The 27413-nt window shown below is 38.1% G+C and overlaps 2 protein-coding genes across 28 annotated transcripts in view, besides 5 other annotated features; one reads left to right on the top strand and one right to left on the bottom strand.

Moving 5' to 3' along the window:
* Positions 1 to 27413, bottom strand: part of DCAF6 (DDB1 and CUL4 associated factor 6) — a 212261-nt gene that overhangs the window by 133452 nt on the left and 51396 nt on the right. For 11 of the 24 annotated variants that reach the window (NR_146229.2, NR_146230.2, NM_001198956.2 and 8 more), the window contains exon 1: positions 5377 to 5702. The exons of 1 other annotated variant lie outside the window; for it this stretch is intronic. Coding sequence is in view for 7 of the 23 variants with exons in the window: in NM_001198956.2 (NP_001185885.1) it covers positions 5377 to 5473 (97 nt within the window). In the remaining 16 variants the exon portion in view is untranslated. Of the gene's footprint in view, positions 1 to 5132; positions 5307 to 5376; positions 5703 to 5875; positions 6147 to 27413 lie in introns of those variants that run through there. 12 more of the 24 variants (NR_146228.2, XM_047425193.1, NM_001349775.2 and 9 more) reach the window with 5 other exon arrangements.
* Positions 5297 to 5536: a silencer, noted in NCBI's record as "silent region_1541". NCBI's record gives its function as "represses an Ori minimal core promoter by ATAC-STARR-seq in GM12878 lymphoblastoid cells {active_cell/tissue: GM12878}" and the evidence as "EXISTENCE:reporter gene assay evidence [ECO:0000049][PMID:35858748]".
* Positions 5313 to 25710, top strand: MPC2 (mitochondrial pyruvate carrier 2). Of its 4 annotated transcripts, none has more exons than NM_001143674.4 (6): positions 5313 to 5446; positions 6487 to 6652; positions 17848 to 17888; positions 21754 to 21838; positions 22295 to 22406; positions 24026 to 25710. In NM_001143674.4, the coding sequence occupies exons 2-6, from the start codon at positions 6544 to 6546 to the stop codon at positions 24060 to 24062; spliced, it is 384 nt and encodes a 127-aa protein (NP_001137146.1). In that variant the 5' UTR covers positions 5313 to 5446; positions 6487 to 6543; the 3' UTR covers positions 24063 to 25710. The 4 variants fall into 4 exon arrangements, 3 of the variants coding, with proteins under 3 accessions (NP_001137146.1, NP_056230.1, XP_006711329.1); NM_015415.3 differs by having other exon boundaries at positions 5316 to 5380; XM_006711266.4 differs by lacking the exon at positions 5313 to 5446 and adding an exon at positions 5571 to 5852.
* Positions 5567 to 5636: a silencer, noted in NCBI's record as "silent region_1540". NCBI's record gives its function as "represses an Ori minimal core promoter by ATAC-STARR-seq in GM12878 lymphoblastoid cells {active_cell/tissue: GM12878}" and the evidence as "EXISTENCE:reporter gene assay evidence [ECO:0000049][PMID:35858748]".
* Positions 5817 to 6126: an enhancer, noted in NCBI's record as "active region_2055". NCBI's record gives its function as "activates an Ori minimal core promoter by ATAC-STARR-seq in GM12878 lymphoblastoid cells {active_cell/tissue: GM12878}" and the evidence as "EXISTENCE:reporter gene assay evidence [ECO:0000049][PMID:35858748]".
* Positions 6237 to 6406: a silencer, noted in NCBI's record as "silent region_1539". NCBI's record gives its function as "represses an Ori minimal core promoter by ATAC-STARR-seq in GM12878 lymphoblastoid cells {active_cell/tissue: GM12878}" and the evidence as "EXISTENCE:reporter gene assay evidence [ECO:0000049][PMID:35858748]".
* Positions 6577 to 6686: an enhancer, noted in NCBI's record as "active region_2054". NCBI's record gives its function as "activates an Ori minimal core promoter by ATAC-STARR-seq in GM12878 lymphoblastoid cells {active_cell/tissue: GM12878}" and the evidence as "EXISTENCE:reporter gene assay evidence [ECO:0000049][PMID:35858748]".

Here is a 27413-nt window from a genome sequence, read left to right as displayed (position 1 = left end):
ACTAGAGAAATGCAAATTAAAGGCCAGGCGCAGCGGCTCATGCTTGTAATCCCAGCACTTTGGGAGGCCGAAGCAGGTCAATCACCTGAGGTCAGGAGTTCGAGACCAGCCTGACCAACATGGCAAAACCCCATGTCTACTAAAAATACAACATTAGCTGGGCATGGTGGCGCATGCCCATATCCCAGCTACTTGGCAGGCTGAGGCAGGAGAATCTCTTGAACCCAGCAGGCAGAGGTTGCGGTAAGCCAAGATCATGCCATTGCACTCCAGCCTGGGCGACAAGAGCGAAACTCCGTCTCAAAAACAAAAAAAGAGAAATGCAAATTAAAACAATGATATATTTCTACACGCCTACCATGAAGGCTACAATTAGGAAGACTCACTACACCAAATGCTGATGAGAATGTGGAGCAATTGGAACTCTCATATACTGCTGGTGGGAATGCAGTATGGTAGAATTACTTTGGAAGACAGTCTGGAAGTTTTTTATAAAGTTAAACATACTTACCATACAAGTCAGCAATCCCACAATAGATATCTATTTAAAAGTGTTCGACCCTAGTTATTTTGTCCAAGATGTACATGAAGTTTCACTATTTACATTTTCCCTGTGGAGCCATCAGCAGTGTTTAAAAAAAAATTTTTTTAATCTCCTTCAAGTACTTGGGGAAGCCTGCCCACCTTAAACCTGAAGCAACATTAAATTACAAGAACTACACACCATCTAGAACAATTTTCCAAACCTCAAGCTGAGACTCATTAGTGCGTACTCTACCAGTTCAACACCAACAGTTGTAACAATATGAAAAAAAACAGAATGCATCCCATCTAGTAAGGTTTATATATACACCTAGAGAATCCTTTATTTTCGTTGTGTATATCACAGGTTGCCACATAAATGTACTTTTATCATGGATCATTTTTAAAACATTTTAAAAACACTGACCTAAAGCATACTTGTAACATAAGCTCCATGCTACCAGAAGCTTCTAAACCTTCTAAGCACTTATAACTTGATTCATCCTATTTTAGGAAGCAATGAAACCCACAGTAGAGCTATCATAGTGTCTATGGTTGTTATGATTACTTATATGCCTTTGGTGTCCTGCCTTAAGGAATTATCAGTATATCTTACGTTTGTCACAATTGACCGTCATTTTTCAATACTAAAATCATACATTTTTCAGCTTTCACTGAAATTTCAAGACTAAAGAAACAAAATACAAATATTTCACTAACTTTTCCCCAATGGCTAAAAAAAGAGGCAAAAGTCAGAAGTTACTAATCTTCATATAATAAATACACTGTAACTTGGCAACATATTATGAAGAACCTGGTAATCTAGAATGCAGATGTATTCAAGATGCACTAAAGAGTAATCGACACGCAAAATTATCCATTTCAGTACATACTGACTCTAATGATATTCAAAGGACACTGACTTCATAAACTCCTTACAAAAAGATGAGATTCAATCTCCACTAAAAAATTGTCACTGGCTGCCTAATCATAATTTACACATTTTATACATTATAATAAATAACTCCCTTGAGAAGTACCTTAAAATTACTTTTTTATCAATTACTATCTTTTAATTTAGAAGGGTTAGAAAGTTGTAGGAGTGTCTGTCCAAAAGGAAAGAAATATGAGTAGAAACAAGCAATGTATTGAAATAAGTTTATTTTATTAACAATGTTTATCTTTACAAAACCGTATATATATGGGATAATAAAATCTGTGTGGCTAATAAATCACTGATTTCCAAAAGCACTACTCTACACCTAGTATACAGTAATTTGAGAAACTATTACATTTAAACATTTAAACCTACAGGTATCTCTGACTTTGATAATTATTCTTTAAAAAAAAAAAAAATTCCAGGAGGCTGAGGTGGGAGGATGGCCTTGAGCCCAGGACGTGGAGGCTGCAGTGAGCCATGAGGGTGCCACTGCACACCAGCCTGGGAGACAGAGCAAAACCCTGCCTCACCCTGCCCCCCGCCTCCCACCAAAAAAAAGAATCCTACATTGAAATTTAGATAGGGCTCACAAAGATTAAAATCCCTGGCCTATCCTCTAAATCCATGCTAGTCTAAAACAACACTCTGTTGGCCCAGGTGAATCTTGTGGATTTGGGAGCTCTAAGTAAACATATCTTTTAATCATAAATAACATCTGGGAAATTATTCATCTTCATTCCCACAACATAATAGGAAGTTTTCTGAAGTATAATTTTCTTTGATGGGAAGAAAGGAGATAATTAATCAGTTTAAGTAAAATCAATTACAAAGCTTGAATATTAACATTGAAAGGGCACATGCTATGGTGAAATAACTGGAAATGTAAAGGCTACAAGAAAAATTTATCTATTTGTTCTATCCCAATTTTACTATTTAGCAGTAATTCACTGCTAAAAAATCTGTAGAAATACAAATAATGAAAATGTATCAGAAAAATACTTAAATCTACAACCCTGTAGATAGACAATCGTAATGTTTAAATATTGAAGTCTTTTAAAAAAGGAATCTATTTCCTTAGGAAAATCCTAACTTGGAATTTGACTTTTAAAAGGAAGGCTTTATAAGTGTACCATACTTTATTTATTTATTTATTTATTTATGACGCAGAGTTTCCCTCTGTCGCCCAGGCTGGAGTGCAGTGGCACAATCTTGGCTCACTGCAACCTCCACTTCCCAAGTTCAAGCTATTCTCCTGCCTCAGCCTCCCAAGGAGCTGAGACTACAGGCGTACGCCACCACTCCCGGCTAATTTTTGTATTTTTAGTAAAGACCAGGGTTTCACCATGTTGGCCAGGCCGGTCTCAAACTCCTGACCTCAAGTGATCACCCACCTTGGCCTCCCAAAGTGCTGGGATTCCAGGCGTAAGCCACCGCGCCCGGCCAAGAGTACTGTACTTTAAAAAGTCATTTTATCTAATAATAAAAATAAAATTAATAATAATGATAAAGTCATTTTATCGCCACACACAAAAAAAGATGGTAATTATGTGACATGATGGATATGTTAATTAACTTGATTGTATATGAAGTTATCAAGTCCTACACCTTAAATATAACAATTTTTAATTGTCAATTATACCCCAATAAAACTGGGAGGGAAAGTCATTTTTTAAAAAAAACCATCACTAATTCAAACATTACCAATGTGGATTTTGCTGCTTCCTGAATGCAAAGCCAGGATTAGCACTGTAGTATAGAAGAGCTGAATAACAGTGTAAAGGTCTACTAAGGGTAAAGGCCAATAAATTAGTTCTTTGCAAACATTTTCAAGTTTCGATACTTTCAAAAAGTATTTTCAAGTACTTAGAAAACCACTTTTAAAGGAAGTCATTCCAAAAATGTCCTATTTTAAGAGTATATATTATCATATCTAAAATATTATTTAAGATAAAGAACTCCCTGTATGTATACATACACATTTGAAAAACTGTAATTCAGGCTTTCTAATATAGTCAGTGAACCCTTCAATTCCCCTAGACCCAATACACAAATTCCATTTCCATTAGGGAGTTGGAGTAGGAGGGGGAAAAGCAGGTATATGGTTTTGTTATATTTTAATTAACTCGTTTGTAGATATAGCTGAAGTAACTGAACCAAAAGAAAACACTAAAATATAGAACTATATACAAGTACTTAAACTGTCCAACTGAGATAAAGGACCAAATTATAAATGTATCCATGCAAAACAATGTTAACGTTTGTTTTATTAAGCTAAAATTAAGTTCTTTCTCCGCAAATAAATTCTAAAAGAAATACTGCACACTTTTTTTGGTAAATAGTTTTAAAAACCAGACTCCAGCTATGTTCAATTTTAAAATGATTAATCACCACTCTAGGTACTTATCCTACAACAAATGCACAGAAGCTTGTAGAATGATGTTCATTAAAATGCTGTAAGGGCGAACGTCTACTTAAAGAAGAAAGGTTGAGTACCCTATGGTACTTCATAATGTTACCTACTATGTAATAATTTAAAAGACAGAATCAATCTATTTTTACTGCCATGGAAAGATCTCCAAAATGTGGAGAAGTGAAAACAATGTTTACAATATGACACCATGCACTCAGGTGTCTCTCTCATACACACACAAACACACACACACCCCAGCATTTGTACATGTACATATGTACTTGTAAGAATGCAAACAAAAAGGTCTGGAAGAATATTCAGAAAACAGAAAATATTATTTCTAAGGGTGGCGGAGTGAAATTGAATGGGAGGGATCAAAGGGATTTTTGCTTCATTTTTATTGAGTTTTTATAAACAAAATGTATTCGTATTTTACTTGAGACACTAAAAAGAATTAAAAAATTGCATGCTAACTTTTCTTAAATAATTTACAAACCAGAACTGTTGGTTGTAATGAGATTTCATTTTCTTCTCTTTACTTGAAATCAAAAACAAATGAGAGCAACAAACACTTTTTAACTAGCAAGTGGCAAAACTGGAAAGAAAAAAATTTTATGATGTTGTTTGCCGTATCTCCAAATAGAAAGAAAGAGTAATGAAGAGTATACAGGAAGAAACAAAAAAGACCTTTACTAAGTACGTCCATTTTTAAGAAACCAAACTTTTTAGTTGACTCGGGCGTGACCTAGAATCCTCAAAAAAAAAATGTTATGCAAAACGAAAAAAGTGGAATACTGTTCCCCCAAGTACTGAAGGTTGTTTTTAGAAAGCTTAACTACGAAACTGTAAATGCCAAGTGTGTTTTCCAGGGGTGGGAAGAGGAACGTGAAACCCTACACCACCTTTAAGCGGTCAAAACGAACTGAAGAGCAGAGTGGAACTGGGAGAGCGCGCGGGGGTGGGGAGAGCTCAGCTATCACTTTTAGGTTTTGGCTCAGCGCCGCAAAAACAGTTTACACGGATTCTGTCTGGAGCGTGAAGTCCCTGAGGGTGGTCAACGCGTCGCAGCCGACACCTAAACCCTCTGGAGATTGAAGGAGAGGGTGGGCAACAACTTAGGTTCTTCGGCTGAGCGGGGAAAGCGCGCTGGAAAAGAGCAAAAGAGCTAACTTTTGCTCTAAACGCGGCAGCTCCTGGAGGTTCCGCAAGTCTCCCGAGTCCCAACCCATCAGCGACCCCAACACCTTTACAAGCCAGTACCTTCTGCCCACGGCCCGGCCCTCCGAGAAAAACCCAGCAAGGGCGGCGGCTGGCAGCATGCACAGGGGGCTTGACTGGGGGAGGCACCGGCACGGAATTCGGCAACCAAGGCCCCACCCAACACCCCAGAGTCTCCGGGCGCCCCCACCGAGACGCCGTCCCACCTCCAACAGACCCGGCAGCGTGCCCCCTCCCCCACTCTAGGCGGCGACCTCAGCGCCTCCGCCCCGGGGCCCCCGCTCACCCAGGTAGCGACTCCGCAGCCGGGACGGGTCCTCCAGCCCGAGGGACCTTTTCCTCACGTCCCACAACAGGTGTGGGTAGGAGCCACCCCGAGACATGGCTCTGCCTGAGCCGGGTGGGAGGGGAGACCACCGCGTGGGGGAGGGGAGGAGGGGGAGGGGACACCCGTTTCAACACCCGAGCCGCACCGGCACCATCCGCGCGCCGGGCCTCCAGGGCGCAGCGTTAGATGGCGGTGGCAGCAGCGGCGCCTGGGCCCCTGAAGCCCGGCCGCACCCGGGCCGGAGCTCGCCTCATACTCTCCTTCTTAGACTAACCAGAACATCCAAAGATCAGCAACAGTCTCCTCCCTCAGCCCCCCTCCAACAGGAGGAGGCGGAGGCGGAGGCGATGGCGACTCCTCCCTCTCCTCGTCCTGGATACCCTCCCCGCCAACCCTTTCTCGCGAGATGACGACCACCCTGGGGACTGAGGCTGGTGTGTGCTGCGGCTGCCCTCACCCTGGAAGAATGCATTCGGGCCACTCTAACCAGATCCTTAAGTCGCTAGGGATAAAAGACGAGTAGAGAGAGAAGCTACTCAATTCTGTAGTCTCTCGCTCACGAGTCTCCAGTGAAAAGAAGCAAGAGAATTGTGCGGCATCATCTTTAGGCACTGAAGGCCCAAAAACCCATTTTAACTACGGGCCTGCTTAATCAAAGTGAAAGGGCAGTAGAACCAGCGCAGCTTCACTTTCCCTTCTCCAACATGGCCTCGAGGGCATGGGGAGAAGGAGGAGGTTTCCGCTCGACCCCGCCCGCGCCTCGGGGCGGGCCAATCATGGCGGGCAGCTCGGCCTGCGCAAGCGCGCTGCCAGCAGGGCGCAGCGCAGACTTGGTGAGGTGATTATTTTGGCACCTGTTGCCATGGCTCCTCCCTCTCTCCTGCCGGGGGCCGGAGGCGGACCGGGGGCTGGCAGTCGGCAGCCTCCGCCCCCTCAACCTTCGCGGGGCGCGGGCCGCAGCTTTTCGGTTCACAGCGGGCAGGGAAAGCCGCGGGAAGGGTACTCCAGGCGAGAGGCGGACGCGAGTCGTCGTGGCAGGAAAAGTGACTAGCTCCCCTTCGTTGTCAGCCAGGGACGAGAACACAGCCACGCTCCCACCCGGCTGCCAACGATCCCTCGGCGGCGATGTCGGCCGCCGGTGCCCGAGGCCTGCGGGCCACCTACCACCGGCTCCTCGATAAAGTGGAGCTGATGCTGCCCGAGAAATTGAGGCCGTTGTACAACCATCCAGCAGGTAATGGACCCTGAATGGCTCCTTATCGAGACCTTCCTTCTCGCTTCCTCTAAAATGGACCTTTTAGAGGCCCTCTGACAACTGCCTCTAGAGGCATCCACAGCCCCAATCCCTTCCCTTCAAGTGAAGCCGTCTACTCTCCTAGCCTGTGCATTTCACCCTCTCTCCTGCAACATCTCTTCCTAAGCCAACGTATCTCAAGTCAGCTCCCTTCCCCACCTATGTGACATCCGCTCCCTTACGCACGACTCCAACCCAAACCTGATCTCCAGATTTGAGCCTTCTCAACTTCTGCGGCCACCAAACTGTCTGGGGCCACCATGAAACACTCATTCTCTTTCTCTTTTCGAATTGTGGCATATTAACCCACTCTAGGCAGAGCTGGATGGGTGGTTTGTCGCACTGTAGGGTTTGGAGTAAAGGTCACTTTCTTCAGCTGCTGCTGGCAGAGGCCTGCAGACTGAGCCCTCCCCCAAACTGCATGCTTTACTTCATCCAGGCTTGAGTCAGTGTCATTTCTCATCCCATAGGTCCAGTGTGTTTTTTTAAGTCTATCCTTATTTATGAAATTGTTGAACAAGCTCTACCCAGAGCTTTTTGTGTGGACAGACCTGGATATCATTCTCTTCTACCACTTATAGTTGTGACCTTGAGCAAAAGCCTAGATCTCTGTTTGTGTAATACGCGGTCTATGAGAATGACAGATAACATATGTGCTTGACTCTTTGTAAATGCTCAGTAAACGTTACATCTCTCTTTGCCTACTGGAAAACTGTGTTCTTGTGGTTGAAAAAAAAAACTGTAAGAAACTGAAAGATTCCAATCCCTTTATTAAAGATCTAGAATTCTGTTACCTCTTCTATAAAGTGAGTTGTAATAATACTTATTTGCTAGGGGCTAACATCAGATATATTCTGAGGTCTGTTTCAAGCCTAAGACTTGGCAAACTAGAAAATGTGTTGTAAATTGAAAGACTGAAGTGCTACCCGAAAAGTGGCTTTTATTCTCCTACATAGTTAAAATCTGTATTCTGTAGTTGGTATCATTAGGAAAGTTGTCTAGTTCCCCCATTATCTGATTATGAACCAGCTCTCTGGAGTCTGAACTGGTTACTAAATCTGATTTCCAGTTTGATAATGGAATGAATTGAACATCTGGATTATACTCTAACCCTTAATATTATTTACTGCAACATTGAACCCATTATAAAACTGATCATTAAGGACAGTTTGTTACTGATTTAAAAAGTTTTTGTTTATTTGCCTTTTAGTTCTTTTAACATTCAATTTTTTTGGAATTATGCTGTGTTTTGTGGCAAAGATTTTCGGGAAGGAGGGTTGAGCTATGCTTTTTGTAATAATCTGGGCTTTACAGAGTCAACTGAATGTGAAGTCAACCCTGACCTTCATAAGCTTTGTGTTTTAGCTGTAGGATAAGGGCATGACAGAGTAAGAGTAATTTTAAACTACTTAAAATAATACAAAATTGGAGGGTAGTCTTACCTTGATCCTTTCCAAGCCTTTAGTTTTTAGCCACCTGTAATTACTGCTTAAAATACTACTCAGCTTTCAGAATGAAGAGGGATTACCTTTCACTTGCAGGATGTGCATTTCACCTGAAAATCCTTGGATTCGTTCAGTTATTTTAACCCCCTTTTTCAGTGTAGTAAAAGGAGCTAGGCTTTGAAGGGAAATAGACCTACGTTTCAGTCTTGGCTGTGTGACCTTGACCCTAAATTCCTGCCTTAGTTATCTCATCTATAAAATGGGAGTAATTGTAATCATTTCAGGATTGTTGTGAAAATCAGATGATCTAATGTCTCTAAAACATGTAGCACAGCGTTTGCACTTAGACTCTCAATAACTGTCAGTTCTAAAATTTGAGCAACATACAGAGTAAGGATATCTATTACAGCAGAATTATTTATGATCGACAAGTTGGAGGCACACCAGTGTAGAAATGGAGGAGCTTGAAAAATACGTTGACTGATGAGTATTGAATAAAATCTAAGGAAACACTGATTATTGTCTTAAGAGTTTATCCAGAGTGAATATTCAAGGATTTTGCATACTATTTTGCCTAACAGTATTTGTTATTGAATTGTCATTGAAACATTTTTCTAGATTCACCTACAAGGAGTTTATTAAATGATATGAAATGCTACAATATTAACAGTTGGAAATCATACATTGCTGATTCTAGATTTTTGAGATTTAATTTTATCACTGACACTGTATGTCTCGACAGGTAACAAGAATGTGTTTTTAGCCAGGCACGGTGGCTCACACCTGTAATCCCAGCACTTTGGGAGGCTGAGGTGGGTGGATCACCTGAGGTCAGGAGTTTGAGACCAGCCTGACCAACATGATGAAACCCTATCTCTACTAAAATACAAAAATTAGCCGGGTGTAGTGGCGGGTGCCAGTAATCTCAGCTACTTGGGAGGCTGAGGCGGGAGAATCACTTGAAACCAGGAGGTGGAGGTTGCAGTTAGCCAAGATCGTGCCATTGCACTCCAGCCTGGCAACAGAGCGAGGTTCTGTCTCAAAAAAAAAAAAAAAAACTAATGTGTTTTTATGTATAGATACATATTTTAGTTACAGTATTGCATCTCTGACCTGTGAGCCAGAATTTTGAGGCTCTCATTATCCATTTGCCTATGTGTTTTTGCTGGCATGTCATGATCTGCCACTGTAGAGAAGGAATAGAGTTCTAGCCAAATGTGTGTCCTGGTCAAGTTCCTCAACTCACAAAAAAGGATGTCAGTCCCCGCATTATCCCCCACCTGACTATAAAAATATGTGACTCCACCCTAGCCAGTTGCATAGCTGTACTCCAGTGTTTGTCAAAGAAATAATCTTGAAGTTATGTTGCCCAGTGTTATTTTTTCTTTTCTTTTCTTTTCTTTTTTTTTTTTTTTTTTTGAGACAGAGTCTTGCTCTGTTCCCTAGGTTGGAGTGCAGTGGTGTGATCTGGGCTCACTGCAACCTTGGCCTCCTGGGTTCAAGCGATTCTCCTGCCTCAGCCTCCTGAGTAGCTGGGATTACAGGCATGTGCCACCATGCTCAGCTAATTTTTGTGTTTTTAGTAGAGATGGGGTTTCCCCATGTTGGCCAGGCTGGTCTCAAACTCCTGACCTCAGGTGATCCACCTGCCTTGGCCTCCCAAAGTGCTGGGATTACAGGTGTGAGCAACCACACCCGGCCCAATGTTTTCTTAAAAGCTTAGTTAAGGAAAACAAAAAAATTATCAGTGGAGGAGTGTCATTTATTTGTATTTGTGAGTTCCAAAATGGGGTAAGTCATCCCAAGGGGTGCACACAATGAAACACTGGAATGTAGGAAGAAAATTATAGAACTTCCAGTAACGTTTACTGTTATTTCATCCACTTAAATTTTTCATTGTGTATACATTCTGTAATACAAAAATATATTATTGCAGTAATTCTATATAATTTATAAATATATAAATGATTTATAAACAGGATGTATACTCAAATTGTTTTTTACTGATAGGGCATATGTTCAAGAGGAGCTGGAAGACCACAGCTCTAAAGAGTCTAAAAACTATCCTTTGGTGAAGTTAGTCCCAAAAACAGCTATCTGAACCATATCATTTTAACGCATTATAGCTCTCCTTTTACTGAATTACATTTTGGCTTACATGGAAGAGCTTTTGAAAAAATAGTTCTGTGAAACTTGTTGCAGTGCTTAATGTGCTGGTGCTGAGAATATCATTCTTAACATTACATGGGTTCCCTCTGAAGACTCATGGGAAAAGTTACTTTAAAGTCTAAATAAGAATAATATTTGCATTTTTCCTAGATAATTAGCTTGTTTAATTTTAAAGACCTAGAGGATATTTCTTTTTAAATAAAAATAAACTAAATGAACCAATGTTATCAGTGTTTATAAGGAAATATCTGTATCATAAAAATTTTATATTCAATGCTAAGAGAATTGATGTTACAATAGATGGTTAAATACAACTTAGTGCAAATATATATTGTTCTATTATATGTAAATAAAATCTAATATGGATCAAATAATGAGTGTACGTACCTACATAGTTTGAATTACACAGTTCTTTAGCATCTCTGTTAGAACTTATTTTGTTGCCACAGATTGTCAGTGAAGAATCTTAATGCCAGTCTAAGATATTAATATATGTCCATATATATTCTTAAGTGTATATTTAATATATTAAGTTTAAATACACTAAATATACATATATTATTTTTTAAAGTAATAACTTATTTAAAGTTAAGAGATAACTAAAATAGATGTAAGATTAGAATTTCAAATACAATTGTAAAATATTGGTGAAAAATAGAATATCTTCAAACAATCAGCTACCAAGAAGGTTGAATTATTCAATATTTATTGAGGGCCTATTGTATATTAGACACTGTTCTGGCACTCAGGATAAAGCAGTGGATAAAATAACGAAACCCACCCACACAGAGTTTGTATTCTCAGAAGAATTCATAAAAAGGAATATCAGCTGGGCGCGGTAGCTCACACCTGTAATCCCAGCACTTTGGGAGGCCGAGGCGTGTGGATCACCTGAAATCAGGAGTTCGAGACCAGCCTGGCCAACATGGTGATACCCTGTCTCTACTAAAAATACGAAATTTAGCTGGGCATGGTGGTGCACACCTGTAATCCCAGCTACTCTGGAGGGTGAGGCAGGAGAATTGCTTGAACCCAGAAGATGGAGGTTGCAGTGAGCCAAGATCGTGCCACTGCACTCAATCCAGCCTGGGCAACAGAGCAGATTATCATCCTTGATGCAGTTGTTCAACACTTAACATATTTTTTGTGTGCTATCCTGCTTTTAAACTAACTTTAAGAAATTAGAACTGTTTATGCAGATGTGCTAAAGGAGAAGAAAGCCCTAAGCTATAAATAGTTTATCATTTCCAGGTCATGTAAAAATATTAATTTTGCTTATAACAGAGAATGAAATATGTTTAAAGTGCTGTATGGTACAGTAGAAAGAGGACTAGGATCAAAGAAACTGTGTTCTAGTCGTTGCTCTATCCAGAACTCTCCTGAGTGTAAGACAAATTACTTAACTTGTAAGTGCCTCATCTTTTTCATTTATAAAAATGAGGGAGCTTGGACTTTCCTTAAAGTCTTTTCCAGCTAATAATCTATAATTTGGTATTCTCTTAGGACTTTTCTTACATTCAGAACCTTCAGGAAACTCAGATTTCATTGGGGAAAGTCATATAATTATTGTTAGATTAGGATTTAGGGATCTAGTTTTTTATCCTTGTTGGATTATTTATTTTAAACAAGTAATTTGTTTACTGGGCCTCATTTGCCTGATTTATGAGTGCCTACAGTAGATGATTTCAACAGTCTTTCTAAATCTAAAAGTAACTGATTCTTTGTACCTGAAGAAATAAGTAAATTTAAAACGTATCATCCCTACAATGCATCTTAGCTATTTTAGTCTCTTTACCTGTTCTTTACTCTGGAATTTCAAACCAAAGTGTATTTTCAGTCAACATTTTTAAAAACATTATCTACCCATGATGTTTTGGGTACTATTTTAGTGATAGCTATTTCCAAGGCATTGTGGAAAATATTAAAATTATATGGCTCTAAAATGGTAGCTTAGTCATGTTCTTAGTGTTAAATCAGAACTAGCTTTGGCACAAATAAAAATGAATGATTTTTTGGCCGTCAGTATCCATGTCAAAGATTAACCTTTACATATTCTAAGGATTTGTATCTAGTTTGTCACATGATAGCAAACAGGTGAACTTGTGTAATGTAAGGAATTAAGAGGGGTGTTAAAAAGTAACAAACCATAAAGGAGTGGCATGAAAGGGATGGGAAGAGGTAGGGAAATGTAGTGATTTTATGACCTCTTAGCATTCAGTAAGAAACTTTATTTTTCACAGAGGGATATAGTGAATACCTCAATCCAGTATTTGTAAGTGTGTATATGTGCTTGAGAGTAAAAATTACCTATTCTGTTCCAAAAAGTTAGTCTTTACTTAGGGAGGGAATCATATATACGATAGGTGGCCTACTTTCTGGGTAGGATTCATATAATATTTTATTAACAGTAATTTCTCTCAAATAAGGAAATTAGGAAGTAAGTTTATGTCAGTTTATTAATAGGTTCATTGAAGTTCAAGGCAACTAAATTTGTTTATTTGAAAATTTATGTCTGTTATTATTTGCTTATGATATTCACTTGTAGAATTTCTCAAATTCTATGAAAAGTTAGAATTTAAAAACATGAGTTTCACTTTAAAAATAAGGCAATAAAACACAAAATAACTTATAGTCAGTATTTTTCATTCTTGAACATAGTTCATAGTTTAAAATGTGTAGACTTTTTTTTTTCTTTTTTCGAGACGGAGTTTCGCTCTTATTGCCCAGGCTGGAGTGCAATGGTGCAATCTCGGCTCACTGCAACCTCTGCCTCCTGGGTTCTAGCGATTCCCCTGCCTCAACCTTCCCAAGTAGCTGGGATTACAGGCATGCACCACCACGCCCGGCTAATTTTGTATTTTTAGTAGAGATGGGGTTTCTCCATGTTGGTCAGGCTAGTCTCAAACTCCCCACCTCTGGTGATCCGCCCACCTCCGCCTCCCAAACGGCTGGGATTACAGGCATGAGCCACCACGCCCGGCCTAAATGTATAGACATTTTAAATACTTGTTTAATGTTTCTAAATTGTCAGCATTGGAGGCCTTCTTCAACATCCAGTAGTACTGTTCAAAGAAACAAGATGAAAATGTATTAATTCTTTTTCTAAAAGAATATATAGTATGTTTGATGTGGACAATTTCTTTCATCTTGGGCTATAAATTAATGTCTTATGAGGAGATTTTTCTTCAGTATATTTTCAGCAGTTCAAATTTTCCACCTAATCAAGTTATTTCATTTATCATAATGGATGTTAGCCAGGTATCTGTTAGTTTATACTTCTGCTTATTCTAATATTAAGGTATTATAATCACTTCACGTGTCATAATTATCTATTTTTATGCTCTCCTATGAGAATAGCTGTGTCATTGTACAGAACATAAGCCTGTGTTTTCCAGGTCTAGAATGACACATGTGACATTGTATTGTCACTATTTGAGTGATACCTATTTCTAAATGCTTTGTTTTGTCAAAACTTTATGTTTAGAAATGTTGAAGTAAGTTGGAATGTTTTTTCGCTACCATATCCACTGTTGATCAATTGCTGTTTTCTGGAAGACAGCCTCTGTATCTGTTTTATATATGTCTAAATTTACCTGTCTAGCTTTATTTGACATATTATTTACTCTTACAGGAAAAAAAAGCTAAGAAATGTTAATTGAATGTTAATTAGCTACAATGAAAGGGTTAAGTTTTCTTTAAAATTTTGTTAACCCATTGTGTGACTTTTTTTTTTTTTTTTCTGGAGTGCAGTGGTGCGATCTCGGCTCACTGCAAGCTCCACCTCCCGGCTTCACGCCATTCTCCTGCCTCAGCCTCCCGAGTAGCTGGGACTACAGCCGCCTGCCACCACGCGCAGCTAATTTTTTGTATTTTTAGTAGAGACAGGGTTTCACCGTGTTAGCCAGGATGGTCTCGATCTTCTGACCTCGTGATCCGCCCATCTCGGCCTCACAAAGTGCTGGGATTACAGGCATGAGCCACCGCGCCCGGCCGACCTTTTTTTTTAACAGTTAAGAAAACACTGTTTGCAGTTATAGATATTAAACTGATTTTTTTGTCACTTGTCCACATCTTTTAGTATCTCAGAAAAATTAGCAATTTAGAAGGCCTTATGTATTGGCTACTGCTATTTTTCTGTTTAGTACATAGCAGTTGTTAAACTAAAATTAGAGCTTGTTTTCATAGTTTAAAATTATTCACTCACTAAAATACCTCTCTTGGTCCAGGTTCTAGCAACCATAATTTGATGTTTGAAGTTTTTTCAGTTGTTTGGTTTGGTGGGGAAGGGCTGTTGTTAATATTGTAAAACTATTACCTAGCTCTAGGCAGTTTAGTAAATTAGTTACCAGGCAAACCTACTGAAAAGATCGACTATTAACCCCAAAGGATCAACCATTTAAGCCTGTCAGCCATTTAAGCTTGAAACCAGAATCTAGAGGCTTTACTCAGAAAACAATTTTGGGGTGACAGAAACTTCAGCTTTCAAATAGAACAAGAGAAGTCTGCTGAAGAGTTCAGAGTAAAAATGAACACCCATTCAGCCAGAGACTAAAACAATACATGGACTGACTCTTGATTGATGAAGCGAAACTCCATGCGAGGATAAAAACTAAACTTAGTAATTGATACTGTGTATGAGCCAGAGACACTGTGTATGACAAAGAAAAATGAACCAGGTGTAATGATAGGAATCCCAGAATCTCACCCTAAATTTCCAGAGAGTTTGAGAAGACTGACTTATAGGATTAATGCATTATGGCATCAGACTCAGGGGAAGAGAGCTGTGGTCTAAGAGTAGAGTAACTAATGAGTGAAATCTAATATATCCTTGGCATAAAGGGAACCTGATGTCCCTAGAGATGAGAAAACAGCAAATTCCAGCCTTGAGGATGAAGCAGTGTCGAGGCAAATCTGGGTCAGACAGAAAGTTTGAATATCTTTGATTAGCATCTATCCTGAACATGGTGGATCCAATTCAGTTCTGTTGGCACATACCTATTATTTGTCAAGGAAGATTAAGAAAAGGACCTTGTCTTCGGGTTAATGTGACAGATGCATAAATAATCATTTTAACAGAAAATGATAGAAGAATATACAGGCTGCTTTGGTAGTTAAGAGAAGGAGCAATTTAGCCTAACCTGGAGTTTTTTTGTTTGTTTTTTAAGGCTTCCTTGAGGAGATGCAACCTGAGATGAGTTTCTGATGGATAGGAGTTAGGTAAAGACTAAGCAGGATATTGAGAAGGGACAGCATGAACTGAAGAGCCATAAAATAGCATGAAACTAGTTGAATGTTTGCCTAGCTTATCAGTCGCCCTAGGCCAGGATTTCTTAACCCTCTACTTTCTGGGAGCGGCTGTCCTGCGCATTGGAGGATGTTTAACAGCATCCCAGGCCTCTACCCACTAGACGGCAGCAGCAGCGGCAGCAGCAGCAGCATCTGCAGCAGTTGGGGCACCACAGTTGGGGCAACTAAAAATGCCCCTGGGGGGACACTCCTGGTTGAGAACCGCTGACTTGGCTAATATTTAGTTAAATTAGGATTATATATTCTGAAACTCAGTGGCTTCATGTTTTCTTTTATATTCCCCTTTTTCCCTTCGTAAAAATGTCTTCAATTCCAACCTTAACCAAAGAAGAAACTAAATTATTTTCTATCTTGTAGAGAGAAAAAGATGTGGCTAGAGTTCTATGTGTGTGGTGGCTGTGCCCAGAACAATACTGCTTAGAGAACTGGATAACAGAAACTGAATATAGATAGGTTTTTCACTCAGTTGTAAGAACATCAAAATTTAGAACTCCTTGATAGTTTAAATTCTCTCACCAGCTGTTTCAGCACTGTTTTTAGATTTATTCTACAACTTAAAATACGGAAAATTCGAACGTACACAAGAAAATGTAAAAATGGTTAGATACCAGATGTATGTGAGAAAATAAAGTTTAACATTATAATGGGCTGAGTAGTCCCACAAGGAACCACAGGGTTTGTGCCGTGATCTTCTTTCTAGTGTTTGAAGAATTATTCTAATGATACCCAGCTTCTCTGAAGAATGAGAAAATGAAACTTAGATTGCTGTAGGACTTTAGGATTAAATTAGAAAATCAGCAAACATATTTTAAAACTATTAAAAGCATAAGACAGACTTATCAATATTTAAGTATCAGGCTGATAAAAACAACTTATGATTTTAAAGTACTTTAAAAGTTATTTGTGGCCGGGCACGGTGGCTCACGCCTGTAATCCCAGCATTTTGGGAGGCTGAGGCGGGCAGATCACAAGGTCAGGAGTTTGAGACCAGCCTGGCCAACATGGTGAAACCCTGTCTCTATTAAAGATACAAAAAAATTAGCCGGGTGTGGTGGCAGGCGCCTGTAATCCCAGCTACTTGGGAGGCTAAGGCAAGAGAATCACTTGAACCCGGGAGGTGGAGGTTGCAGTGAGCCGAGATTGTGCCATTGCACTCCAGCCTGGGCAACAGAGTGAGACTCTGTCTCAAAAAAAAACAAAAAAAACCAAAAAAAAAACCAAAAAAAAAAAACGTTGTTTGTATGTGTATATATATATGTGTGTGTATATGTATATGTATATATATATATATATATATATATATATATATGTGTATATGTATATCTGTATATTATATATACACATACATATATATTAGGGTAATAAATGTTAGTATAAACTGCTTCCAACTCTACTGGCTAACTTTCCTTTTTATTTATTATTCTACATTCTATTAGGTAATAGGGGTACAAGTATGAATAGTATTGAGCCACTAGCTTCGAGAAAGTCATAATCTTGATAGGTACATAGATTTACAAATAACTGGAGTAAAATATGTAAAATGTACTGTGGTAGATTTTAAAATGACATTGAATTAATGAATTTTGCTGTAAGAATACTGTGAATTCGAGAGGGACAAAAATATCAAGGACTATGTTAAATTGTGGAAGACAGAATGTGTAGCATTACCATCACTTAAGGCTAAAGGCAAGTAGTTTGCACTATCTGGTGATACTTTTCAAAACCTGCATACTAAGCAAAAATTGGAGGGAAGCAACTGCCATTTTTACATTTTTCAAATTTTGCTGCTTAATGTTAAGATTACCCAACTATTTGTTATAGTAATTCAGCCAAAATGCACAAAAATGGGGTGTTATCACTGGGTTCATTTTCATTTGGGATGAGAGTGTTACTTGAGTGTAAAACTAGTATGAAAGTACATTAGAATCAAGGTTCCCTAAAATATTTTTATATGGCAGTATATTTACTGAAAAAAATTTGCATACAGTTGAACCTATCAGTTCAAACCTGTGTTATTCAAGGGTCAACTGTACTGTGATACTGTGGTGCCTCTCTAAATGTTAACTGAAATACAAAGTATGCAAAAAGCATAGTAAAAGTGGTTAAAAATAGGTTGATAAATCCTTTGGTTTTTAAAATTTGGTGACAGCTGTTAAAAGACGTGTATAATATATTTGGTTTATTCCTGAATTTTTCTTTTCTTTTTTTTTTCAGGTCCCAGAACAGTTTTCTTCTGGGCTCCAATTATGAAATGGGTAAGTCTTGAGTTTTTACGGAAGCTACTGAAAGACAAATTCCTTAATAGGAATTTACTAATTTGAAGTAACTTTTATGAAGGATATACTTTAGAGTATTCTTGGTATGCCTCTAGATGATTTCATGGCAAATATTCTCAGACATATCGTTTTCTACATAAAGCAACTATCTACTTTAGTTTTTCTGAACTCTTTAGATAAGAGGCCTTCTGGGAACATACTTGTTATCAAAAAACTTACAATTGTGCACCACATGGACATGAAATTTCATTCTAAAATGTTATTACTAAGTAAAACATTAAGCTAGTTAGAACCCCCAAGTTAACTTTTATTATTAATTTAGTATGAGAACTGAAGGTACTATCACCAAAATATAGGTGAGGAAAGTTACTCTCAAAAAGTAGATGGATTTATTCGAATATAAATATTAGCATTTGGTAAATGAGAGAACCTAGGACTTCTGACTCCAAGCCCAGTGCTTTTACTCTTCCCCAAAGTTTTCTTTCTTAAAGTTCTTACTTAGCTGAAAAGAAACAATTGTGGTGGCTGTTTGTAGCAAATCATTGATTTTATGTTGAAAGGGCCAGTTTGGGTCTATAACTGTGCTTCTCAAAGTGTCATCTCTCTGGACCTGCAGTGGCATCATTTGAGAACTTGTTAGGCCCCATCACAGACCTACTAAATCTGAAACTCTAGATGTGGAGTCCAGTGAGCTCTGTTTTCATAACCTCTTCGGATGATTCTCTAATGCCCTCTAAAGTTTGAAAACCACTGGTCTGTAGGCTTTTTTTTTTTTAATGTGGTAAAATACATATAAAACTTACTATCTGAACCATTTTCAAAGTGTACAGTTCAGTAGCGTTAAGTACATTTACATCATTGTTAACCAATCTCCAGAACCCTTTTTATCTTGTAAAAGCAAGTCTCTGTACCCATAATTCCCCATTCTCCTTCTCCCAGTCCCTGGCAACCACCATTCTACCTTCTGTCTCTATGAATTTCACTACTCTAAGTACCTCATGTAAATGGAATCAAAATGTATTTGTCTTTTTGTAGTTGGCTTATTTCCCCTAGCATAATGTCCACAAGGTACATTAACGTTGTCACATGTGTCACTTTCCTTTCTTTTTAATGCTGAATAGCATTCCATTGTATGTATTTACCACATTTTGTTTATTCTTCTATATGTTGATTGGACAATTGGTTTGCTTCCACATTTTTGCTGTTGTGAATAATGCTACCATGAACATTGATGTACAAGAATCTGTTTAAGTCAATACTTTTAATTCTTCTTAGTATACACCCAGAAGTTGAATTGCTAGATCATATGATAATTCTGCTTAATATTTTTTGTTTTCCTCAGCAACTACATTATTTTACATTTCTACCAGCAATTCATAAGTGTTCTAATTTCTCCACATCCTCACCAACACTTGTTACTTTTGATGGGGGAGCATTTTTGTTTTTGTTTTTATGATAGGCACCTAATGGGTGTTAGATATCTTTGTTTTTATTTGCACTTCCCTAATGATTAGTCATGCTGAACATATACTTATTGTACTTATTGGTCAGTTGTGTATATTCTTTGGAGAAATATTTATTCAAGTCCTTTGCCTGTTTTTTAATTTAATCAAGGTGTTTTTTGTTGTTGTTGAGTGATGGGCTGTTGTAATTCTCTTAAATGTACTTTTAAAATGGTTAGAACAATTCAGAAACTCAGTTGTAAATTCAAGTGGTTGAGAATGTTAGAGTTGGAATTGGCTATGACTCAATCTTATGGCCTTGGGCAAGTTTAGTCTCTTTGTCATTTTGTCTCTTCAACTATAAAGTGACAAGATTAGAATATAAGTCATTCGGGAGCTGTATTTTACAGAGATCTAGGGAGCAGGTTTTTTTTTTCATATCTACATATTGAGAAAAGATCCTAAAACCCCCTATACTAATGGAAGTTACATTACCATTTCCTTCTTCTCTCCCTACCTACACTTAAAATTACATAGTAATAATATATCTTTATAGTGGAATTGATTGCTGAAGTATTCAATCATTAAAAGAGTTTGAGTGATTTCATCTATTCACAATAAATTTAGGGGCCTCTTTGATCTCAAATTTACCACAGTTTAGGAGTTTATTGATTTTATCAATAGCTTTGGGGTTTATTTGAACTGGTTCATTACTGTTGTGAGATATTGACAGCATTATATACTCATAAATGCCTTCTTGACTATCTGTCTCTTTAAGAACATCTATTTTAAGTACATGTTGAAATCATACATAGTCTCCAGATGACAGCATAGCAATAGAAACTTCTGTGTTTTGTTCTCTGGTGGGGAGACTTCTTCTATTAGATACTTACCTTATATACCTCTTACTGTGTTTTACTATCCCAGAGTATTTGATAATTAATCTGTAGAATTCTATACATGACACATAACAGTTGCTTCTGCAAGCCACATATGTTCTATAACATGAAGACTCTCAGACCATATGCCTTCAAACATATAACTGTAGTAGAGTCCTTTGTAACCACTTTAGTTGAAACCACATAACTAATCATAAAGGTCAAAGTGGATAATCCTAAAAACAAAAACCTATGTACCTTAAATATTTTATTTTAACCTAAAGGATATAAATATATATTCATTGACAATCAGTCTTTTTTAAAGCTAAATCTTTTATTTGTGTATGGATTTCTGAGCTCCACATTTTCTATCCTGGATAAATTACACTACAGTGCATCCTATATAATTTCCAGCTTAGTTTTTTTAAAAAAAAACAATTTATTAAATCATGTAAATTACATTAACAAGTAAAACTGGCATAAATAGATTGGGGACAAACATAGTGACTTGGTAAAAATACAGCTCATCTGGTGGGAGCAAAAACGCATGAGTGCAATAGAGACAGTGTTAAAAACACAGAAGAGAAATGGCCATGTATATGCTGATGTTAAAGAAAAATGGCGTAACAGCCAAGGCCGGGCATGGTGGCTCACACCTGTAATCCCAGCACTTTGGGAGGTTGAGGCGGGCGGATCACCTGCGGTCAGGAGTTTGAGACCAGCCTGGCCAACATGGTGAAACCCCGTCTCTATTAAAAATACAAAAATTAGCCAGGCATATTGGCACACGCCTGTAATTCCAGCTACTTGGGGGCTGAGGCATGAGAATTGCTTGAAACTGGGAGGTGGAGGTTGCAGTGAGCCTAGATCGCACCATTGCTCTCTAACCTGGGTGACAGAGTGAGACTGTCTAAAAAAAAAAAAATGATCTAACCAAAAAACTAAAATTATAAGTTTTTCTGATATTTATACTTTTAAAAAATAATTCATTAGAAGCCCAAACCTCAGCATCACACAATATACCCATGTAACAAACCTGCACATATACCCCAAATCTAAAATTTAATTTAATTTAAAAATGATAACATTGGCAGAAAACATCAAAGGAAGAATCTATACAAATGACCTTAACAGCTTTTAGGTATCTTCCATGCTAGTGGTTAGTGGTTCCTGACATATATAAAGAGTATATAAATTCATATGTGAAATAGGTAGACCAAAAAAAACCCAAAATATATATGTACGTGTAATGCATACATATACATCTTATCTATATATGTACTACTGACTTTCAGATATGTGAGACTGCTTAGTGTACCTAACAAAATAAAATTAGTTCAAAAAGCAGTTTTTTAATTCATTGTGCTTTTTTTTTGTTGTAATCTACATTTTCTTAATGAATGGACACTAAAATTATAGCTGCTAACTTACGGAAATCTCAAAAATGTCTTGTGCTTGATTTAAAGTTAAAACTATTACTCCACATTTGTGATACTTTTTTTCTTTCTATGCGTTAATGTGTAGGGGTTGGTGTGTGCTGGATTGGCTGATATGGCCAGACCTGCAGAAAAACTTAGCACAGCTCAATCTGCTGTTTTGATGGCTACAGGTAAATTAAATAAATATCTTCTGTGTTTCTTGTAGAACATAAATGATTTTTGTTTTCTTTTATATCAGTTTATTTAGTGGCTTAGTGTTTGAAATACACCCACACACAAAGGAATTAACAGTATTATGTCTAGGAAGTTATTAAGTTATGGATGGAGGAGTCACAGAAAGAATAAGTATCTGAATGGGCTTTTGCTTTTCAGGTTTTTGCCATGAACATATTTTTATAAGTGGGAAGAAAATTACAGTTAATAGTCACTTTAAAGATTCCTCTTTCATGTAAGAATTGAGTATTTTCTGTGACACTAAGTTACAGAAACATTGAAAATTCAGAGTATAGCATTTCTTTGTCCCTCATCCTACATTATTGTTGTAATTACTTTACTCAATATTAAGTATTCACTGAAGTTATTGAAGCAGTATGTATTCTTTTTAAAGTAACATTTTGTTTCAACAGGGTTTATTTGGTCAAGATACTCACTTGTAATTATTCCAAAAAATTGGAGTCTGTTTGCTGTTAATTTCTTTGTGGGGGCAGCAGGAGCCTCTCAGCTTTTTCGTATTTGGAGGTAAGCCTACCAGAGATATTTTTAAAACTGTTGCAAAAGCTACTTAGATGGCACTAATTTTTTTTTTTTTTGAGACGGGGTCTCGCTCTGTTGCCCAGGCTGGAGATGGCACTAATTTTTTTAAAAGATTCATATATAATGCTAAGACAAGAAGTATCTAAAGTAGAAATTTAACATTTCTAGAAAAGTCTAGGGGTTTACAAATAAGTTAACCAGTTAACTAGTTAACTGACTAAAATCAGTTAAGCAGTATGTTACCTAGTTTTTAGATTTAACTGTGCATCATTTAGATGGTTAACCATCTCACATAATCTCTTTTATTAAGACAACATATACAGTTTATGATTTATTAATTTCTTATGTAAACCTTTTATCACTTTCAATTGTATATAATAAATTGGAACTTAAGTGTATTGTTATGTAGTATTGGAAATGATACGTAGAGTGAGGTCTTTGCTTTCATTGGAAAGTGTTCCATGAGCACTGGAAATTTTTAAACTATTTACTCAGTAGTTAATATTGTCAGTGATTTATGATAATGACATTATGATCAAATATTTGAAATCAGGATCTTTTGAGAAACCTAGGAGGTATGGTTGGCTTCATGGAATAAGTTCCTTCTTATGCTTTTATACTACTCTCCATTCCATTATAAGCTAGGAGGAATAGTAAATGAAGCCCAAGGTATGGTAGAAGGGAAGGAAAGACTATGGCTCTGTGGTTACTTCTTTGGATTGAGAATTGAGGAAATGGTCCTTAGCGTTTGTGAACTTAAGTGTTTACAGGCTGTTAACCCAATAGCCTGCCTGCATCACAGAAGTATATTTTACCTTAGTGGTTAGAAGTATATTTTACTTTAGTGATTACTTTAGTATATTTTACTTTACCTGTTGATCTTATTCTTAGGAAAGGTGCTTTGCGAGTATAAATTTTAAAATTCTAGGTGACCACATTTTACTAAATTTTATACATATGTTCACAAGTTTGTCACGTTCTTGTAGAATTCCAGAATGAGAATATTTTTATTAAAATAATACTTTTGCACAGGAAACTATATGTCAGCTAAGCTGTTAAAAGTTTTTGGCAGGCCGGGCATGGTGGCTCACTCCTGTAATCCCAGCACTTTGGGAGGCCGAGGCAGGCAGACCACAAGGTCAGGAGATCGAGACCATCCTGGCTAACACGGTGAAACACCATCTCTACTAAAAATACAAAAAATTAGCCAGAAGTGGTGGCGGGCGCCTGTAGTCCCAGCTACTCGGGGGGCTGAGGCAGGAGAATGGCGTGAACCCGGGAGGCAGAGCTTGCAGCGAGCCGAGATCACACCACTACACTCCAGCCTGGGCGACAGAGTGAGACTCCATCTCAAAAAAAAAAAAAAAAAGTTTTTGGCAGTTGTGCTCTTATTATCTGAAACAAAATCCAGATGCAAATGAACTCTTTGAATCCTTTCCTTTCTGCCTGTTTCTACCTGTAAGCCCTCCGGGAAGATTCTGTTTACAACTGTATAGCTACTTGACCACCAAGAAAGAAGAAATGGAGTATGCTTCCCATTCTCTCCTTACCATAAATTTGTCTATTATTATTGATGATTATTTTTCTTTCTGTTTTCTTTATAGATATAACCAAGAACTAAAAGCTAAAGCACACAAATAAAAGAGTTCCTGATCACCTGAACAATCTAGATGTGGACAAAACCATTGGGACCTAGTTTATTATTTGGTTATTGATAAAGCAAAGCTAACTGTGTGTTTAGAAGGCACTGTAACTGGTAGCTAGTTCTTGATTCAATAGAAAAATGCAGCAAACTTTTAATAACAGTCTCTCTACATGACTTAAGGAACTTATCTATGGATATTAGTAACATTTTTCTACCATTTGTCCGTAATAAACCATACTTGCTCGTATATACCCCCTGCCTCCTTCTGTTCCAGTCAGCCAACATATGTACATAAAAGAACACACAAATTCAAGAAGTTGGAAGATTAAATTATCTGCTTATTTAGTGTAGGATGGTCAGGTAGCTAGCTATAAGTGAAAGGAAATTTTGCTGAAGAGACTGAGAAATGGGTAGTGGAATGACTATCAAGATGACCTCAAACTATTTAAAAACATTTTAACTTGCCATGAAGAATCTTGATGATTTTTGTATAAATGTTGTATAAAATTCTTTTACAGCTACAGATTTTTAAATAGGATCATTGTAAAGATTAATGAGATAATGTTTTAACATAGTGCCTGGTCCATGATAAGTGTTAAATTTTTCAATTACCCTCAGTAACTGATAATGTAGCAGAAAATACTCTATATTCAGACAGACCTGAATTTGAATCCCAGCTCTATGACTTATCTGTTGTGACTTTTTTTTTTTTTTTTTTTTTGAGACAGGGTCTCGCTCTGTGGCCCAGGCTGGAGTGCAGTGGCACAATCTCGGCTCACTGCAAACCCTACCTCCTGGGCTCAAGTGATCCTCCTGCCTCAGCCTCCCGAGCAGCTGGGACTACAGGCACACACCACCACACCCAGCTAATTTTTGTATTTTTGTAGAGGTAGGGTTTTGTCATGTTGCCCAGGCTGGTCTCGAACTCCTGGGCTCAGGTGATCTGCCCGCCTCGTCCTGTCAAAGTGCTGGAATACAGGCATGAGCCACCATACCCAGCCTATGCTGTGACTTTAGACAAGTTAGGAAAGTACCTAGCAGAGTACCTGGGACATAAGTAGGTTTTCTGTAAATGTTTGTGACCTTTGGCTCCGTTGTGAGGAGAGACTGAGCATACATTACTCCACGCTACAAATAATTAACTATCTATTTGATTTGACTTTCAGTGTGGAGTGCAGAGCTTTTTTTCTAAAAGTGCTAATAAAGCCAGTCCTCATTAAAAATATAGTCAGATGAGTCAGCAAAGCAAGTTATTTCAAAATTTGAAGAAATGAGACAAAACAACTTTTTGAGTAATACTATAACCTATGAAAATTTGGCAGTTAGCAATTGAAAACCTTGTACTTTATCATCTGTCCCTTAACCATGGCCTACCATTGAGGAGAAAAGATTAGAGAGCTTGACATAGGCCACAATGAAGAGGTTCTGAAGAGTCAAACTATTATTGCTTTCATTTCATAAACCACACTGTTAAATTCATTTGTGTGTTTGGCATGGGTGTGCACACATGTGTTTCCTAGGTTAAGCATTTAGGAAAAACATTATGAAATATGACATAGACACAAAAAAGTTTATTAAAAATTTATGTGAGCTTGGTGTTTCACTTCCTTTTCATTAAAACCTCTTCTGTGCGGGGTCTCCTAAGCCCCTCTTGTCAGTCAAATTTGTTGTAGCATTTAGATACAATCATAGGCAGTCCTCCTTTCTTGTTTCTCAGAAGTTTCATTGACAAACAACCATCACATGCTTCTTTTCTTTTCTGCCCCAAAACTCTTAATCTATCCAATTTTTTAATCTTAAAAATTAAATCTTGGCCAGGTGCGGTGGCTCACGCCTGTAATCCGAGCACTTTGGGAGGCCAAGGCAGGTGAATCACCTGAGGGCAGGAGTTCGAGACCAGCCTGGCCAACATGGTAAAACCCCGTCTCTACTAATAATACAAAAATTAGCTGGGTGTGGTGGCGCACGCCTGTAATCCCAGCTACTCCAGAGGCTGAGGCAGGAGAATCACTTCAACCCAGGAGGCGGAGGTTGCAGTGAGCTGAGATCGCGCCTTTGCACTCCAGCCTGGGCGACAAGAGCAAAACTCCCATCTCAAAAAGTAACAATATGTATCCTGTCAAAAACTCTCATTGCCACTTGGAACACATAGCCTAGTTATCAGTTTCACAACTATTCTCAAAGACTTAGTAAGAATATATTAGAAGTCCTTACTATCAATGCAGTTACTGAACTCCGTAAAAATAATTTCCACAGTGGTGCAAATCGATTAGTATAGTTGAGTTGAATTCTTTATCACAGCTTTTTGACAGGTCTTTATTGATAGCTTCACTATGTAAGTTTTCTTTCTCAATGCCAAGTCTGACAGCCCTGGGTTTCAACTCAACTCTGCCACACATTAACTGTGAGACTTTGTTAACCTCTGTCTCTGACCTTTAATATTTTCAAGAGCAAAATGAGGATAATCATAGTACTGACTTCATAGGATTGTTCTAAAGATTGAGATAAGGTTTTAACACAGTGCCTGGTCCACAGTAAATATTGAAGATATGGAAAGTTCAGGAAACGGGCCAGGCGCGGTGGTGCATGCCTGAAATCCCAGCACTTTGAGAGGCCGAGGCAGGTGGATCACCTGAGGTCAGGAGTTCGCGACAAGACTGACTAACATGGTGAAACCGCATCTCTACTAAATACAAAAAAATTAGCTGGGTATGGTGGCACATGCCTGTAATCCGAGCTACTTGGGAGGCTGAGACAGGAGAATCACTTGAACCAGGGAGGTGGAGGTTGCAGTGAGCTGAGATCACGCCATTGCACTCCAGCCTGGGCAACAAGAAGAAAGTTCAGAAAATGGTAATCTTATTAATTGAAGGTAGACCCAGAAAGTACTTTTCTTTAAGTACTTTAAAGGAAGTTTTAATTTTACTACAAAAAGGATATACTGTGTTAACCTATTTGCACGGTTTCTGAACTAATAACTTTATAGCAGAAAAGAAGCTGCTTGGGGTAGAGGAGTAGTAGGTGGGGTGGAGAATGCTCAATAAGAGATAAATTCTTTAGTCTTTTTTTGTGGTATGGCATCTCTTTTAAGGAAACTTTGATCCAAGGTATGTCAGTGCTGCTGTTTCCTCATAGTAAATATTTTCTTTTTTAACTTATAAAATCATAGCGAAAGGTTGAATGTTAATGAGGATGGACCTCAAAGCTAAGGTTCCTTTCTGTAAAACAAAGGTCTCTACTGGAGCCTGTTTATATAATGAAGCAGAAATAGAAAACACTGGCATTTATTAAGAATAGCTCTCCCTAAGGGGATTGTTTAATTAAATGAGGTATGATTCTAATTATAA

This window comes from Homo sapiens, chromosome 1 (assembly GCF_000001405.40).
Source record: "Homo sapiens chromosome 1, GRCh38.p14 Primary Assembly".
NCBI lineage: Eukaryota > Metazoa > Chordata > Mammalia > Primates > Hominidae > Homo > Homo sapiens.
Note: the sequence above shows the minus strand (reverse complement) of the source record. Positions and strands in the feature narration are given on the sequence as shown.